General features: G+C 43.5%; 1 annotated feature.

The window, feature by feature from the left end:
- Window positions 14,715-14,774: a silencer, noted in NCBI's record as "silent region_3164". NCBI's record gives its function as "represses an Ori minimal core promoter by ATAC-STARR-seq in GM12878 lymphoblastoid cells {active_cell/tissue: GM12878}" and the evidence as "EXISTENCE:reporter gene assay evidence [ECO:0000049][PMID:35858748]".

The raw sequence follows: 16,262 nt of genomic DNA, 5'->3' as shown, positions 1-16,262 counted from the left end.
GGTGTAGACAGCCTCAGTGACTCCTGGGTTTAGGATCAGTGAGATAATCTCCAGTATCTACAGTGGGCAGGTGGAAGAGTGTCTGATGCAAACTGTATCTATTTACAAGCTTTCCAGACAGCTGGGCTTGTGCCTTGGAAATACAATAATATTTGTTTCTCCTCCTTCCTCTTCACTCCTTGGCCTCGTGTTCTGCAGTACTGGAACCTGGGTCAGATTTAGCTACCTCATTCATTCATTTATGAATTCATTTAGCCAGTGATTATGGAGCACAAATTTGTGCCGGAAACTGTGCCTCAGTGTCCTCAACAGGTTCTGACTTGTGAATTCCAAAAGCTTTTGTGATCTACTGGGTAAAACATTGTTTTCTAAGGAAAATGACATGCTGATTGCTGAACAGCATATTCTAATTACCTTGTGGATCCCAGGCCATTCTTAAATTGGGTTTTGTCTTTATTGCCTTAGACTGTTAATGAATTGTTTCCCAGTCTGATTGAATGCTCCTTGAAGACGGACCCGGGTCCAGCCACTGCAGTAAATATTGCTAACTTGGGGGTGTAATTCTGCTGCTTTTGTGGTTGCTGCTTTGCTTATTTTTTTATGTCTGCTGTTTCCTGTGAGATTGTTTCTGTGTTTCATATGTGGATTGATGTTCGGTGAGGTTTATGGAATTTCTGTGCAGCTTGGGTTAAGAGTATCTCTTCAAAAAGGTTTTTGCATTTGCTTCTGCCAACCTTGTTATCAGCTCAAGTTGTTTCTTATGTTGAATTATTGGGGATGACCTCCCCCACACTCAAGTAGTATAAATTAGAACCTCGCTGGGTGTGGTGGCTCACTCCTGTAATCCCAACACCTTGGGAGGCCAAGGTGCGCAGATCTCTTGAGTCCAGGAGCTCAACACCAGCCTGGGCAACATGGCAAAACCCTGTCTCTAGAAAAAATGCAAAAATTAGCCAGGCATGGTGGCACATGCTTGTAGTCCCAGCTATTCGGGAGCCTGAGGTAGGAGGATTGCTTGAGCCCAGGAGGAGGAGGTTGCAGTGAGCATTTATCATGCCACTGCACTCCAGCCTGGGCAATGGAGTGAGACCCTGTCCCCCAAAAAATTTTTTTAAACTCAAACCCTATGGTATTATACCTGCTGTGGGTATAATCCTTTAGTTACGATTGGATGCTTGCTATGATTTCTCAGAAGGAAAACATTTTTTCCTACCCAGAGCTCTTTACAGCTAAGCAGAATTTCCCCAAATGTGCCTTTAAAAGGTATTGGCTTATGCAGGCTTCTCAGTTTGATGTCTTGTTCCTGAATGAGCAATGAAACCCCAAACGGACAACCTTGCCCTCAAGGACAGCCGAAGTATCAGATACTCCTTGCAACTCCTTATGTCAGCTCACACTCCATTTGTGGACATGGAGCATTTCCTTCCTTTTTTCTTTTCCTTTTGCAAATCTAGTTATGCATTTAAAAGGATGCAATGTACCCATTATTTCCAGGTGTTTTATGGCACTAATGTGTATGGCAGAAATGGGTGTTCTCTAATTGTTCATAATTCAAGGTAATTATAGACATATTGTTTCAAAATTAAATCAATAGATTTTCAAGCCATGCTATGTATAAAGCTCCATGCGGGACACAAAAAGGGAAAAAACACTATGTACCATGCACCCTTAAGCAATTTCACACATGCTGTCTTATCTAATTTTCACGACAGTCTTATGAGACAGTTATTATCCCCATTTTATAGATGAGGAAGCTGAGGCTGCATGATGAGTGGCTTGCTCAAAGTCACATATCTAATCAATAAGACAGCTGGCATAAAACCCATATCTCACTCGAAAGTCTGTGCTTTCCCATTGCACAGGTTCATGACATAGTCCAAGGGAGAAGACATAGCTGACAAAAGGATCAATAGCAGTGTAAGAGTAGACAAATAAAACAATAAGGACTGCATTGCAATAGATGTTATGAAGAGGGACGGACATGATTCATTGCTAGTGAATATAGGCCAAAGGGCTATAACTTCAGAGTAGGCAGAGATTTGTGGGCCACAGTGGGAAAGATGGAGGAGAAAGTTAGCTTGGGCCTTGAAGATATTGTCTCAGTGAATGAAGGGGAGAAGACCATGCCTGGCAGTGGAGAGAGCACAAGCAGAAGGTGGGAAAGCGTGTGCAGGTTATGGGCTCCATGAGTAGGTAGGTCATGGCTATATACAAGTATGCTGGGAGATAAGATGGGGAAAGTTTGAGTCCAAGTATGGAGGGCTTTGATTGGTAATGAATTTGGATTTTATTTGGTAGGCAATAAAGAACCCCAGAAGACTTTTGCCTAAAGAATGATGTAGCTGAGGCAGTACTTTAAAAAGATGTGTATGGAAAACCATGTACAAATTAATTGTCAGGGGAGAGAATGAAGGAAAGGAGAGAGCTTGGATTAAGGGGAAGCAGTGAAAATCAAATGGAACAGATGGATACCTAGATATTTCTCATACTGAGGGTGCCAAGGCCAATTGTTCTTAATTAAGCACCAATCTGGTTGATTCCATGGGAATTTGAGATGTCATCAAGGTATATTGCTATTGTCATCTTCCACAGACTGAGCACCAGTCAGGCCACTGGGTCTGAGTCCCTGGGGCTGGAGCGGGTCCAGTGGGCAATTTATTAAAAGTTGCCAGGAGAAGAAGGGTGAATGCAGGCCACATCCTGGGAAACACACACTGAACGTCAATGCTGGAGAATTCTGAGTTGTACCTCTAAGTTCATGGATGAGCATGATATAAGGAAGGGAAGGCAAAAATAAAAGTAGAAAGACAGGTACTGAAGTATTGTAAATGAACGGGTCCAGTATTTGTGAATGGAACCCACAACTTGTTTTAATTAGCTTTAAGGTGTCTAGTACATTGTGGGTCAGCTTAGTTTAAAGATATAGGACTAAGGCGAGCAGCTTTAACATCTGAGCTGAAAGGGATATAAAGATGACATACCCTCTTCTAAACTTCCACGACTCTACCACAGCACTTATCATAATGCATCATGATTATCAAGTTTTATATCTGTCTTCTCACTAGACTGTGTACTCTCTGTGGGCAGGGACTGTGTCCTGTTTATCTACATTCCTGGCATCTGGCACAAAGCCCAGCACAGGGTAGATGCCCAGCTAAGAGTTAATGATGGCTTGGACCAGGGTGATAGCAGTGGGAGTGGTGAGAATTGATCAGTCTTTAAATACATTTTGAAGATAAAGCCAAACGGGTTTCCTAATGGATTGGCTATGGAGTATGTAAGCAAGAGAGCAGTGAAGAATGACGCAAGGATTTGGGTTTGAGGAACTAGAAGGTAAAGTTGCAATCATCTGAGATGGAGAAGGCTGCAAGCAGAACAGGTTTCAGAGAAAAGATGGCGGGTTCACATTTGAACATGCTGATGCTGGGTGTCTATTATGTTCAAGTGGAGATGGCAAGTGGCAGTGGTTTCTTACATTTGAAATCTGAGAGAGAGGTTTGGGCCAAAGATACAAGTTTGGGAGTCATCTGCATAAAGATGGTATTAAAGAGTTCTAAACGGGGTGTTATCACCAGGGGAGTAAGTGTAGACAAAGAAGAGCGCCAAGGTCTGAGTCCTGGAATATTACAACACTCAGAATCTGTGAGAAGAGGAAACACCAGCAAATAAAACTGATAAAGAGCAGCCAAGGAGATAGGAAAGAAACTAAGAGAAAGGGGAAGTCCTAGAAGCCAAGTGAAGAGAAAATATAGCAAGGAGAAGGGGGATCAACTGTGTCAAATGCCACTGATACTCAAGTAAGATGAGGAGTGGGAGCTGCCCATTAGATTTAGCATGTGAAGATCATTGATGTCCATGATAAGACTTGGGTGCCTGGTTGGGGCAAAAGCCTGAGTGGGGTGAGTTTAAGAGAAAATAGGAGGACAGGCATTGGAGACAAGCAGTACAGACAACTCATTATAGGAGTGCTACAATGAGAAGCATCTAAATGGGGTGGAAGCTGATGGGCAAAGTGGGATTGAGAGAAGCCACTTGTTCATTTAGATGGAAGAAACATCAGCGTGTTTGTATTCTGATCCAGTACAATGAAAAGGCTAAGAGCTTAGACCTGCTAAGCTCACATACTCAGGCTTCCATCTTCTAGTGATGACTCCTATTGTGAGTTCATTGAGGATGAGAGCTAAATGTCTACCCTTACCTCTTGACATAAGATATATAGAAGATGCTTAGCAAATATTTATCAAATAAATGACTATGCATAAAATACTTTGCAAACTCTCTGAGCCGCAGTTTCATCTGTTAAATGAAAGTAATATCACCTACCTCAGAGAATTAAATAAGATAAAGTACATATAGTATATAACAAAGAGCTTAGTACTTAGTATATGCTCAGTAAATAGTTAGTTTTATTGTTAGTTCAATGCTTTCATTTTACAGATAAGGTATCTGAGGCCCAGAAAATAGTTTGTTCAAGATTGCACAGTTAATGACAGAGCTACCAGTTTCCTAGACTCATATTCCTTAGCTTTTTCCACATAACCAGAGAATTTACCTACAATTCCCAGGTACCACAGATGTGGGTGCTTTCAAGCCTCTGTAAATTCACTAAGTTGATGAGAAACCTGGATATTAGTAATTAATGGCAGATCTGAAATCTCTCTAGAACCTTCCTATGTGGCCAACATATGTCTTCCTGTCTAATTTGTCAAGATACTCTGCAAAGTCAATCCTAGTACAAGGCTCCATATTCATCTTGAAGCTTTTTCTTGTTTTACCAGAATTCTGGTTTTAATTTTTTGAGTAGCAATCCATGTTACTCTTTACATACCCAAGTCAAGGGACAAAGCTAAGCCACATGCTTGTTTTGTTCATTATCCAATATTATGTAAGTCTAGATGACTGACTCCATTAGTTTAACTCCAGGTGACAATGTAGATATAGATCCAAAATATGTTTCTGGACAATATTAATAGAAATTTTTATGACCTTGGAACACACCCTCCCTCATTGTACTTGCAATAGATGAATAACCTGCTCTTGCTAGGATGAGTGAAGAATGTTTACCTTTGTCAACATTTATTAGTGGAGTACTATATGCAGCTATTCCTTTAATAAAACAGTAAATCTTCAGCAAAGTTTATAGGTTGTCTTTCATCCAAAGACCTCAAAGAAACTTTGCTAACACTGTGTCATTATTCATCATACAACTTGCCAAGGGAGGCAAGTGGTGATTGTTTCAAAGAGAGAAACTGAGGTTCCAGGAAGGTTTCTGTGACTTCTAAGGGTCATGAACAGGGTAAAAAAGAAAAAAGAAAAAAAGGAAAGAAAGAGAGAGAGAGAGAGAGAGATCTGGGCACTGAGCCCAAATTCCTGTTGCTCAGGCCAAAGACCCAGCGCTCCTCCTAGAGCTCTCTAAACATTTCTTTCTGATAGAAAATGTAATTTACTACCTTGATCTGTTAAGCAGAAATGAACTCTCAACCTGTCTTCAATGACAGGGAAAGCCAACCTTTATTTCTGAAGTTACTTCAAGTCATAAAATGCTTGATTCACTGTATTAAATAATACAGTATTAAAATAAGTAAATAGCTTTGTAGTCATAATGATAGCTTGGATTTAAATGGTGCCTGTGCTCTGAAAAGCAGGGTAGTTCACAGGCTTCTGCAGACCTTTGGTCTCATTTGGCTACCCTCCTCTACCCTTCTTCTTCTTTTTTTTTTTTTTTTAGACGAAGTCTCGCTCTTGACCCCCAGGCTGGAGTGTGATGGCGTGATCTTAGTTCACTGCAACCTCCGCCTCCCCAGTTCAAGTGATTCTCCTGCCTCAGCCTCCCGAGTAGCTGGGATTACAGGCGCCTGCCACCACACCTGGTGAATTTTCGTATTTACAGTAGAGACAGGGTTTCACCATGTTGGCCAGGCTGGTCTCGAACTCCTGACCTCAGATGATCTGCCCGCCTAGGCCTCCCAATGGCTACCTTTCTTGACTTCAAGTATCCCTTTCCTTCCCACAGGTCTTTTCTTCACCAACCTGCTTTCTTCACTCACACCCTTATTCTTTCATTCAATTATTTTTTCTTCTGCACTAGCAGCTCTCAAGTGAAAAGAAACTCCCTGCTTTAGCTGTATATGAAGAAAGACCTCCAGGCCCTCTGGAAGAGCTGTGGAAGGCCATCCTATGTAGATCCTCCAAGAGGCTCTTACAGGAATGAGTTAAGATCCCATCTTGTTTGGAGGTTAATGATCAATGTTTCAGAGACTGACTAGAACTAATCAAACATTCAAGTTCTCTTCTAAATTTCCCAGTCCCTCTTCTATTTAGATCTGGGCCTTATAACTAGTTCTGGCCAATAAAAAGAAAGGCAGTTGAGAATTATATTCTTCCTCCATCGCCCTCTTAACTTGCTACAGTGACCTTGGAGGTCACATCTTCCAAGACACTACAGCTACAAGATGGAGGATGGTTGCCCACCTGACTTCTGACTTTGCATGAGCAGTAAACAAACTGTCATCCGGTTACCTGGAGATCAAAACCCCTGAGATTTTGATTGTAGCAGCTGCTGTCAATTATCCTGACTAACAGCAGGAGTGAAATATTGCAATAGTTTAAAAAAATCTAAGAGATGTGGCATTAGCTTACCAGTTAGGCTGGATAGATGGAAATCCATGATATGCAGTGGCAAAAAATTTAATGAAGTACGGCTGGCGATAACTTGGAAAGCAGACCATGAGCCAACTGAGTTTATACATTTAACACAGAGGCCAGCCAACTTTTCCATAAAAAGCCAGATAATGAATATTTTCAGCTTTATTGGACAGACTCCTTTGCAACTACTCAACTACCATTGTAGCATGAAAACAGCCATAGACAATATGTAAACAAATGAACATGGTTGTGTTCAAACAAAACTTTATTTACAAAAACAGGTAGCACTCTGGATTTGGTCTGTTGGCTATTTGCTGACCCCTAGTCTAGGGGAAGAGTTTAGATAATATGTTGCCATTGGCTGCATTTGACAAGGAATTAAAGTTAAGAGATGAGTTTAGAAAGTGTTGGCCGGCTTGCAGGCAGAAATTAAAGAGAGAAATCAGGAATTTGGATTCCCAACTTTTCACAAGCTGTAAGTGGTCTAAAAATGCTGTACAGACTCCAGTATCCACTTAGATAGGGAGAAAGAGGATAAATACACAAAAATAAACCTCCTGATAAGCAGAGTAGGCATGGAGGAGCATGAATGTAAGGCGAGCAGGTTAATATTTGAACAAAGACCCGAAAAAAGTAAGGGACAAGCCAGGTGACTATATAGGGAAAGAGCAGAATTATAGCAAGTGCAAAAGCCCTGGGGCAGCAGTGCACCTAATACCTGCAGGGAACTGCAAGGATGCCAGTATTGCTGGAACCGTGGGCACAAAGGGTGGGAAGGGGGGTGGTAGTAAAAGATAATATCAGAGGGAGGGCAGGTGGGCATGGGGCAGTCTTCAAAGGTAAATCATACAGGGCCTTGTAGGTCATTATGAAGATGCCAGCTCTTATTCTGAATTAGTGGGAAAGCCATAGAGGGTATTGAGGTGAACAGGGACACACTCCAACTTATATTCTTGAAAAGATAATTCTATAATATGGCAAAACCCCATCTCTACAAAAAAAAAAAAAAAGAAATACAAAAATTAGCCAGGCATGATGGCTCACGCCTGTAGCCCCAGCTACTTGGGAGGCTGAGGTGGGAGGATCATTTGAGCCCCAGGAGGTCGAGGCTGTGGTGAGCCATGATCACACTGCATTATAGCCTCGGTGACAGAGTGAGACTCTGTCTCAAAAAGAAAAAAATTCATTCTGGTTGCCGGACTGAGACAAAACAAAGGGGGTGGGGAGTAAGCAATAAGACCAGCCAAAAGTCTTTTGCTGTAATCCAAGCAAGAAATAATCATTCATTTATACATTCATCTGTTCCCTGAGTGGGTCCCAGAGTCTCTGAATCATCTCAACCATTTTGCATCTAGTTCTCAACTATTCGCAACTAGTTCTCAAACTTGGCTGCACATTAGAATCACCTGAGAACTGTGACGATGACTGCTCCTAGGGTTCTACCTCCAGAGATTCTGGTTTCTTGAGTATAGACCTTGGCTGGGGTGGGGTTGGAGTAGATATTGTGTGGCCCGACATCAGGATTTTTAAAGCTCCCCAGGTGATTTTCTTGTGCAACCCATTTGGAGAACCACTGATCTATATAATACACCCTCTTTGAGCTGAGCTCAGAGCCTGGTGGAGTTCCCAGTGTTCAATAATCTTCCAGGTCTCTGGCCTCATTTTTTGACTGCAGGGAGCATCTTCCCTCTTATTGACAGCTTTGCAGTCCCCATCTGGGGTGCAAGAGACTACAGGGTGCTCGGAAGTGTCCATCCTGGAGGCATCATCAAAACTACCTACTTGTTTTGGGGGTTTTTCCAACTTTTATTTTAGGCTCAAGGGTACATGTGGAGGTTTGTTACATGGGTAAATTGGCATCATGGGGATTTAATGTACAGATTATTTCATCACCCAGTAATCACCATAATACTTGATAGGTAGTTTTTCCACCTTCACCCTCCTTCCATCCTCCACTCTCAAGTAGGCCCCGGTGTCTGTTTTTCGTTTTTTTGTGTCCATGGGTACTCAATGTTTAACTCCCACTAATAAGGGAGAATATGTGATATTTGGTTTTCTGTTCACTGTAATGTGTTTAGGATAATGACCTCCAGCTCCATCCATGTTGCTGCAAAAGACATGATCTCATCCTTTTTTATGGATGCATAATATTCCATGGTTAATATGTACCACATTTTCTTTATCAAGTCCACCACTGATAGGCATTTAGATTGATTCCATGTCTTTACTGTTGTGGATAGTGCTGTGATGAACATATGTGTGCATGTGTTTTTGGGGTAGCATGATTTATATTCCTTTGGGTATATACCCAGTAATGGAATTGCTGGGTCAAATGGTTGTTCTGTTGTACATTCTTTGAGAAATCTCCAGACTGCTTTCCACAGTGGCTGAACTAATTTTTCTAATGAACTAATTACATTCCCACCAGCAGGGTATAGGGATTTCCTTTTCTCTGCAGCCTCACCAGCATCTGTTAGTTTTTGACTTTTTAATAATAGCCATTCTGACTGGTATGAGATAGTATCTCATTGTGGTTTTGATTTGCATCTCTCTAATGATTAGTGATATTGAGCAGTTTTTCATACTCTTCTTGGCCACATATATATCTTCTTTTGAGAAGTAGAAACATCTATTTTTTCCAGAGTTTCTATAGCTTAGCTTAGCACTAGGGAAGTGGGTGGGGATTGCTGGGTGTGCTGTGGGAAGATGACCCTTCCATAAAAGACAGCAGGGTGGGAAAAGGCCCCATGTTTTCAGAATATTAGTATATATACATATATATATATATATGTATATGTATACGTATATATATATACGTATATATGTGTGTATATATATACACATGTATATATATATTTATATATTTATTTATATATATATAAATATATATATAAAAATATATATATATTTAGTCGACATCCCTGTTCTATCCCAAAAGCCTAGGCCTGTTTCTCTAGCAGCCTGGAAAATCCAAATGTAGCAAGAAACACTTGTCTGCATCTGAAACTGGCCATCAGAGGACAGGTCCTTGACACACAAGCACAGAGTGGTCTTTCCTACAGCTCGGACATGCCCTTTGCTCCTTCCCCCTGTAAGTCACCCTCCTTCTATGTTTTCCTAAAGAAAGTTATTTTTACCCACTTTGGAATGCCAGTTCGGAACAGCCTCTGGCATCTTGGAAGGCACTGTACAGGTACTTTTCATCTCTAATTGCTCCTGCTTCTCCATTTAAAAGAAATATTTTCAAAGCAATGGGAGCAAGTTACTCATTCAAATGCTGTTAACAAATAACAGGACTTGAGTGTGTAATCTGAAGTTACTCAGCTTTGAAAAGTTGCCCTGAGGAGTTAAAATTTCTGCTTCACTGGAAATTAGAAGGGAGGATGGGGGGGATGTCCTTATGCGAGGAATTTTCAGCCCCTGGAATTTTATGTCTGATCTCCCTCACATCTGAGCTGGAACGTGAGATCCAGTGCAAGATTGCAGGAGAGAGCGGGCTGGGGACAGTTCTGGGGCCTGCAGGTGTTCCGTTTCTGTGCCAACCAGCAAGGGCCGCTCCCCCTGCACCACCAAACACCCGCCAGGACTTGCTGGAGCCCATGTCAGTGGAGTCAGCTTATAAATTACTCGGGATCATCATTCCATGTTGGATCGAATCATAGAGGGTGGAGTGTAGAGGTGCTGCAGCCTGGGCTTCAGGTGGAGGGCTTTCTGGAGGAACTCCACAAGCAAAGGCTGACAACGCAGCCATGACAAGCCACAGACTCCCAGCGAACTCAGCCCCAAGCCTACACTTTCTCTCATGCCACAAGAGCAACTGAGCCAAAAGCTGGGAGCCTGGGCCCCTTCTCCCATTTCTGTTTTAATTACTGCTTTTTCTTTTAATATATGTTTCCCGGCATGCTGTACCATGAGAAGTAGGGACAGCAATGCCCTCCAGGGAGGCTGCACATAGTAAGTGTTCAATATAATTAAGTGTCAGTAAATGTCAATTCCCTTCTGTGGTTTAAGAAAATATGCAGGCCCCAGGGTGGTATGGAAGAGATGTGACTGGTGAGTCCTAAAGTGACGTCAGTAATAAGGGAAGGAAAATGTTAAGGAGGTCAAGACTCCTCATTAGGGAAGAAAAGGGACTTCACCTGTGCCTGCCAATCACCAAGGACTCTCAGGTTTGGCTCTTCTGTGGACAGGTCCAAGCTTAAAAGAGTACTCATGGCATAGGAATTCTGAAAATATTTATTAAAGAGAGAAAGGATGATTCAATTAGAGGTGGGAGGGAGGGGCCATGATTAAAGGAAGAGATAGAAGAAAAGGACTTCAAGTTTCCACTTGAAGGTGGCTCCTCATCCTGTTGGCAAAGTTCTGAGGAAGAAAAGGTATATATGGAATGCCACTTACTCCACTTTGGAGCTTCAAAGAGGGTGTGGGGAGGCAGAAGGAAAAGAGGCTGAAGGAGAAAGAGCAGGAAGGGAAGAGTCAAGGGTGAAGTGCTCAAGTTCTCCCATTCTGTGCTAAGAATAGCAGGCTCTCTTCAGGGGAAATTCAGTCCCTCTTCCCACCATGGACTTGACCTCATCAGGCTCTCCAGCCTGCCCCAGACCACCTACCGACAGGGACTCATGATGATAGTTTGAGAGTGAATACATTCAAGGCCCAACCCCAGTACTTTACATATCTCCCCTCCAAATCTAGAAACCAATGCCTTGGCTCCCTATGTTCCTACAACTTGGCTTTTTCTGCATAAATCCCCTTTCAAAGCTCTTGTCTTAGAGCCAGTTGATACTGATCGACACATATTTTAATTAAATTTGCATTTACCTATTGATTTTCATACCCAGTCTCATTCCAAAAAGGATTGGAGGCAGCTTCTAACATTTCAATGTGATAATCACTTTGATAAATCTGCCTTACCACCCCTGTTCACAAACACCTGTATCTACATCCACGAAATATAGATGATCTTCATAGTTTAATTGTAAAACAATACACAAAACACCTTTGAAACCTGGCTCCAAGTTTTAAAATAGGTGCATTGTACTTTGTATGCTAAGAAGTTTCAGACAGGATTGGGCGTCCTGGCCACAGAAATAGAGTCTTGTGGGAGACCCCCAGTTTGGATTCAGAGTTTGGGATGGCCAGAAGTATGACCACATTGATTTTCTTTCCTTGTTAGGTGTAGAGAAAAAGAGGTACACAGGTTGTGTTGAAGAGCAGAGTTTCGTCCAAACCAGGTGTTTGGAGCATTGGAGGAGGGAAATTTTCCTCCCTTCCAGGAGCCCCTCCAGCATCCCAGATCTTGCCAACTCAGACCCTTTCCCAGACAAACTTGCCTCTCATCCCTCAGGGAGTCAGTTGATCCCAGCTGGAACTGTAATCCTTTGCTAAAAGGCCTCTTGGCTGAAGCCCAGCTCAGCAGGGAAGGGTTCAGCTTTGTCCTTGGGGGGCTTCTGCAGGAGGTCCCATTCTTGGGGACTCTGACACTGTGGGAATCTGGCAGGTGCCCCTTCCCAGGTTCACAGAGGTTGCTTTGGGGGGTTGCAACAGGACTTGCTTCTCTGGTGTTTATCTCAGTGAAATTCAAGAAAGTCCATGTGCAGTTTCATCCTGGGATAAAGGAGGGTCTTCTCTTCCTACCAGCAACTCCAGGCAAGATACTCTCCTCAGCCCAAAGGGCTAAAGAGAAGGCAAAGGGAACAAAGGAAGGCCATTTTACTCATTGTTGTTGAACTTAAAATGTGTAATTATCTTCTGAAAACAGCTGAAGGGCTTATGTAAAGCATGACACAGGAGAAGGTATTTAAACATGAAACAAGGCAGCATCTTTTGCTGGAGCAGAATACCTGCTTTCCAAACTCCAGATCGACTTTGGAGGAGGAGAATAGCATGACAGCCTCCATGTGTGAGTCCTGTCAACACTTGGCATCCACCTTCCCATTCACTTTTCACAACACTGCATGGTAAACCATTTCACAGATAAAGAAATGGAGTCTCAGAGAACTGGAGTAAATTGCCCAAAGATGCACAGCTACTCAATAATAGAACCTGAATTTGAACCTGCTGGGTAATTCTAGAGCCCTCAGCCTTAGCCACTACACAGCGCTCCTTCCCATACTGTCACTACCCATAGTCGTTCAGCCATGCATTCCCTAGCCACTAAGGCAAAGCAAAAGATAATGGGCTCAATGAACCTCACCCCTCAGATGGGCTAAGTCACACGGCACTTTTGTTTTCATTGTGAATGCCCATCAGTGAGGCACATACTGCCTGTTACAGCAGATCTGCTTCGTGCATTTGTAAGTTTTGCCTGACCCTGGTGTGCATTTGAGTTTGCGATTCCAGGACTACAACATTTCTAATAGGAAAAATGTCAGCTCTGTCTTATTCTGATATTGACATGCTTTGGGGATGCCTTAGGAGGCTAGGAAGCCTTCTAAGTAGCTTCTGAATTTAACACATTTCTATAGAACTGTTACAAGCTGGTTGGGAATGTGGAAGCATGCTCACCAAAGACGGTTTTCATTAGGCTCAAATCAATGATGAGCTTTTCCTGAGAACTTGAGGCTTTAGGAGAGAGTAGCATGGGCCGTTGGATTATTATAACAACAACAACAAAAAGATTTTAATACATTTTTCTCTCATTGTTTTGCCTGATGACAGATGCAATCCCAGATCACAGGCATTTGGTGCATGAGAGCTTTTCTGTTTACAGGTGTCCACTGTGCCTTGGAGAGGGCTGGGGCACCGCCCTAGGGATTGTTATTTCAGACAAGAACTTCACCCTACAAAGTAAAGGCAAGACAAAATGTCATTGTCCCTTTTATGCATCACAGAGGCACATTGGACTTGTAGAAGGAGCATACCTTTTAGACACTAGGTGGACTAGGTAAAACCTGGATTTGAATCCAGCTTTTTCTACTTCACAGTTGTATGACCTAGGACAAGTTACATCAAGTACATTTTTGAGTCCAGTTTCCTCATCAGGGAAATGCAGATAAAAATACAGACTTTGTTAAGGTACCGTAAGGATTAGAGGTGATATATGGAAGACCCCATGCAGGGAAGACCCCCTGGAAGACTCTTTGTAGTTGATCTAGATATTATCAGGAGCAGCGTGGGACATGCGGCACTGCACATGCTGGCCACTAGCTTGCACAGCAGGTCCTCAAATAATGTCATGTTTTTGTTTTTGTTTTTCTGAGACAGGGTCTTGCTCTGTCACCCAGGCTGGAGTGCAGTGACACAATGCTGGCTCAACCTCCTGGGCTCAAGAGATCCTTCCACCTCGGCCTCCTGAGTAGCTGGGATCACAGGTACACACCACCATGCCCAGCTAATTTTTAAATTTTTTGTGGAGATGGGGGTCTCACTGCGTTGCCCAGCCTACACCATTTCATTAGAACATGGATAAGAAAAAAAAAATCCATGCCTTCTGGGGCCACACTCTGTGTGGAGTCTGTACTCTCTCTCCATGTCTGCATAGGTTTTCTCCAGGCACTACCACTTCCTCCCACATCCCAGCGATGTGCACATTAGGAGAACTGGTGTGTCTACATGGTCCCAGTCGGAGCGAGCGTGGGTGTGGGTGAGTGCGCCCTGTGAGGGAATGGCATCCTATCCAGGGCTGGGTCCCACCTTGTGCCCTGAGCTGCCAGGAGGGGCTTCGAGCACTCATTACCCTGAACTGGAATTACTAAGTAAATAATGATCTTGTTTTTATTCATCAAATGCATGTATAGCTCACATTTATTTCAGTGTTTAGTATTAGAAGTGTTTTGAGTCTTTACCTAGAAGTTTGCTGATGTTTTTGTGACCTGAAATATACTGTAGGAACTCAACTCTAGTTTATAGCCATTAGCCTGTAGTAAAATTGGTTTCCCTTTAAGTTGTAGTTCCGAGAACCTAAGGACAACGTTAACTTACTGTACTGTCAAGGTCAAAGGAACTGCTCTGTTTCAGAATGGATGGTTGGACTCCACAAGGGCAGAAAATGCCACACAGCACATCACCTGAAGTGGTGCTCAGAGTGTCGGGTTTCTGGTTTTCAATTATTAAAAACACGCAAACAACTAATACCACCCTCCTCCCACCCCTCTCACCCCACGTGGATAAAGCCAGGTTCAAACCCCTGGGTCGTCCTGGGTGAGGAGCCCTCAAATGGCAGTTTGCTGCCCTCTGCTGTCCATATCGAGAAGTCCTGGGGGGGATGCTTTGGGCAGCACCGCCAGCCTTAACAATCCAAGGAGCTTGGGCGCCCAAGAGGGAGGGAGTACCAGGAAAAGCCACATAGTCGGAGGGGTCTGGCGAAAAAATGAAAATGTGGGACAACTTCTTAAAAACAGTGAGAGTTTCAAGACAGCGAACAGAGTATTAAGCTAAGCTGTGGACATTTGTGAGGGTGGGGCCTGTGCCACTATCTCCCACACTCTGAAGCTGGCCTCATTATTCCCTGCTCCTGACATTGCACGTCAGGGCTATGACAGAGTCTCAGTGGTTCCTGAAGAGTCTAAGTTTAGGAGAATATGTGGGGAGAGGAGTTGCAGGTAAGGTTCTCCCTAATATGCCAGGCTGAGGGGAATCAGTTTCTCTTGGCTATAATGTAGTGGTACTGAAAGTCTAATTTTTTTTTTTTTTGAGACAGAGTCTTGCTCTGTCACCAGGTTGGAGTGCAGTGGCGCAATCTCGGCTCACTGCAAGCTCCACCTCCCAGGTTCACGCCATTCTCCTGCCTCAGCCTCCCAAGTAGCTGGGACCACAGGCGCCCACCACCACGCCCGGCTAATTTTTTTGTATTTTTAGTAGAGACAGGGTTTCACCGTGTTAGCTAGGATGGTCTCGATCTCCTGACCTCGTGATCCGCCTGCCTTGGCCTCCCAAAGTGCTGGGATTATAGGCGTGAGCCACCGCGCCGGGCCAAAAGTCTAATCTTTTTTCCACTTCCTTGCTATTGGAGTTTGAGAAAGAAAAAAACAAAAAAACAAACAAACAAAAAAACAGGACTCCTTGTCCCAGCCTTGGGAACCAATTCAGACTCAGGGAGTCAGACAGATGGAGATTAAAATATCACCTGCATTACAGAACAGACTACTCTGGAGGACAGAGCTTGGCAATGATGAGCATGCTAAAATGCACTCCCCAGTTCCACCAGGAGAGATCCACGCAAATGAGAGTGTGGGCCGACTGCTGTCACCCACTAGTTAGCTAACTCAGCACACTTCCATCGGGAGGATTAAGGAGCAGAGCAAGACGCCAGGAGGATTTAGAGAAAAAGCCCTCTGTGTGGAAACCAGAGCAGTGGGGGGCCAGTGTCCCCCCGATATTATTCAGGGGCTAACTAGGAAGATAGACACCACTCCAAGTAGTTACAACAAAGGGAATCTGATGCAGGGAATTGGTGGAGGTGCTGGGAAGAGAAATCCCAAGATTCTCAGGAATACAAAGTCACTGCCATTCTTAGGATGAAGGAGTGAAGGGGTAAGGTGCTGTTCCCAGATCCCCCAGCCAGATCACTGGCAGGAGCCAGAACCTGTGAGGGTCCCTCTGGCAGGAGCTGGAGCTATGAAGGAAAAAGAGCCACTGCTGGATATGCCACCTGAGATGGAGAGAGACGGGATGAGACC

This window comes from Homo sapiens, chromosome 11, assembly GCF_000001405.40.
Source record: "Homo sapiens chromosome 11, GRCh38.p14 Primary Assembly".
Taxonomy (NCBI): Eukaryota; Metazoa; Chordata; class Mammalia; order Primates; family Hominidae; genus Homo; species Homo sapiens.
This window is presented reverse-complemented; position numbering and strand designations above follow the sequence as displayed.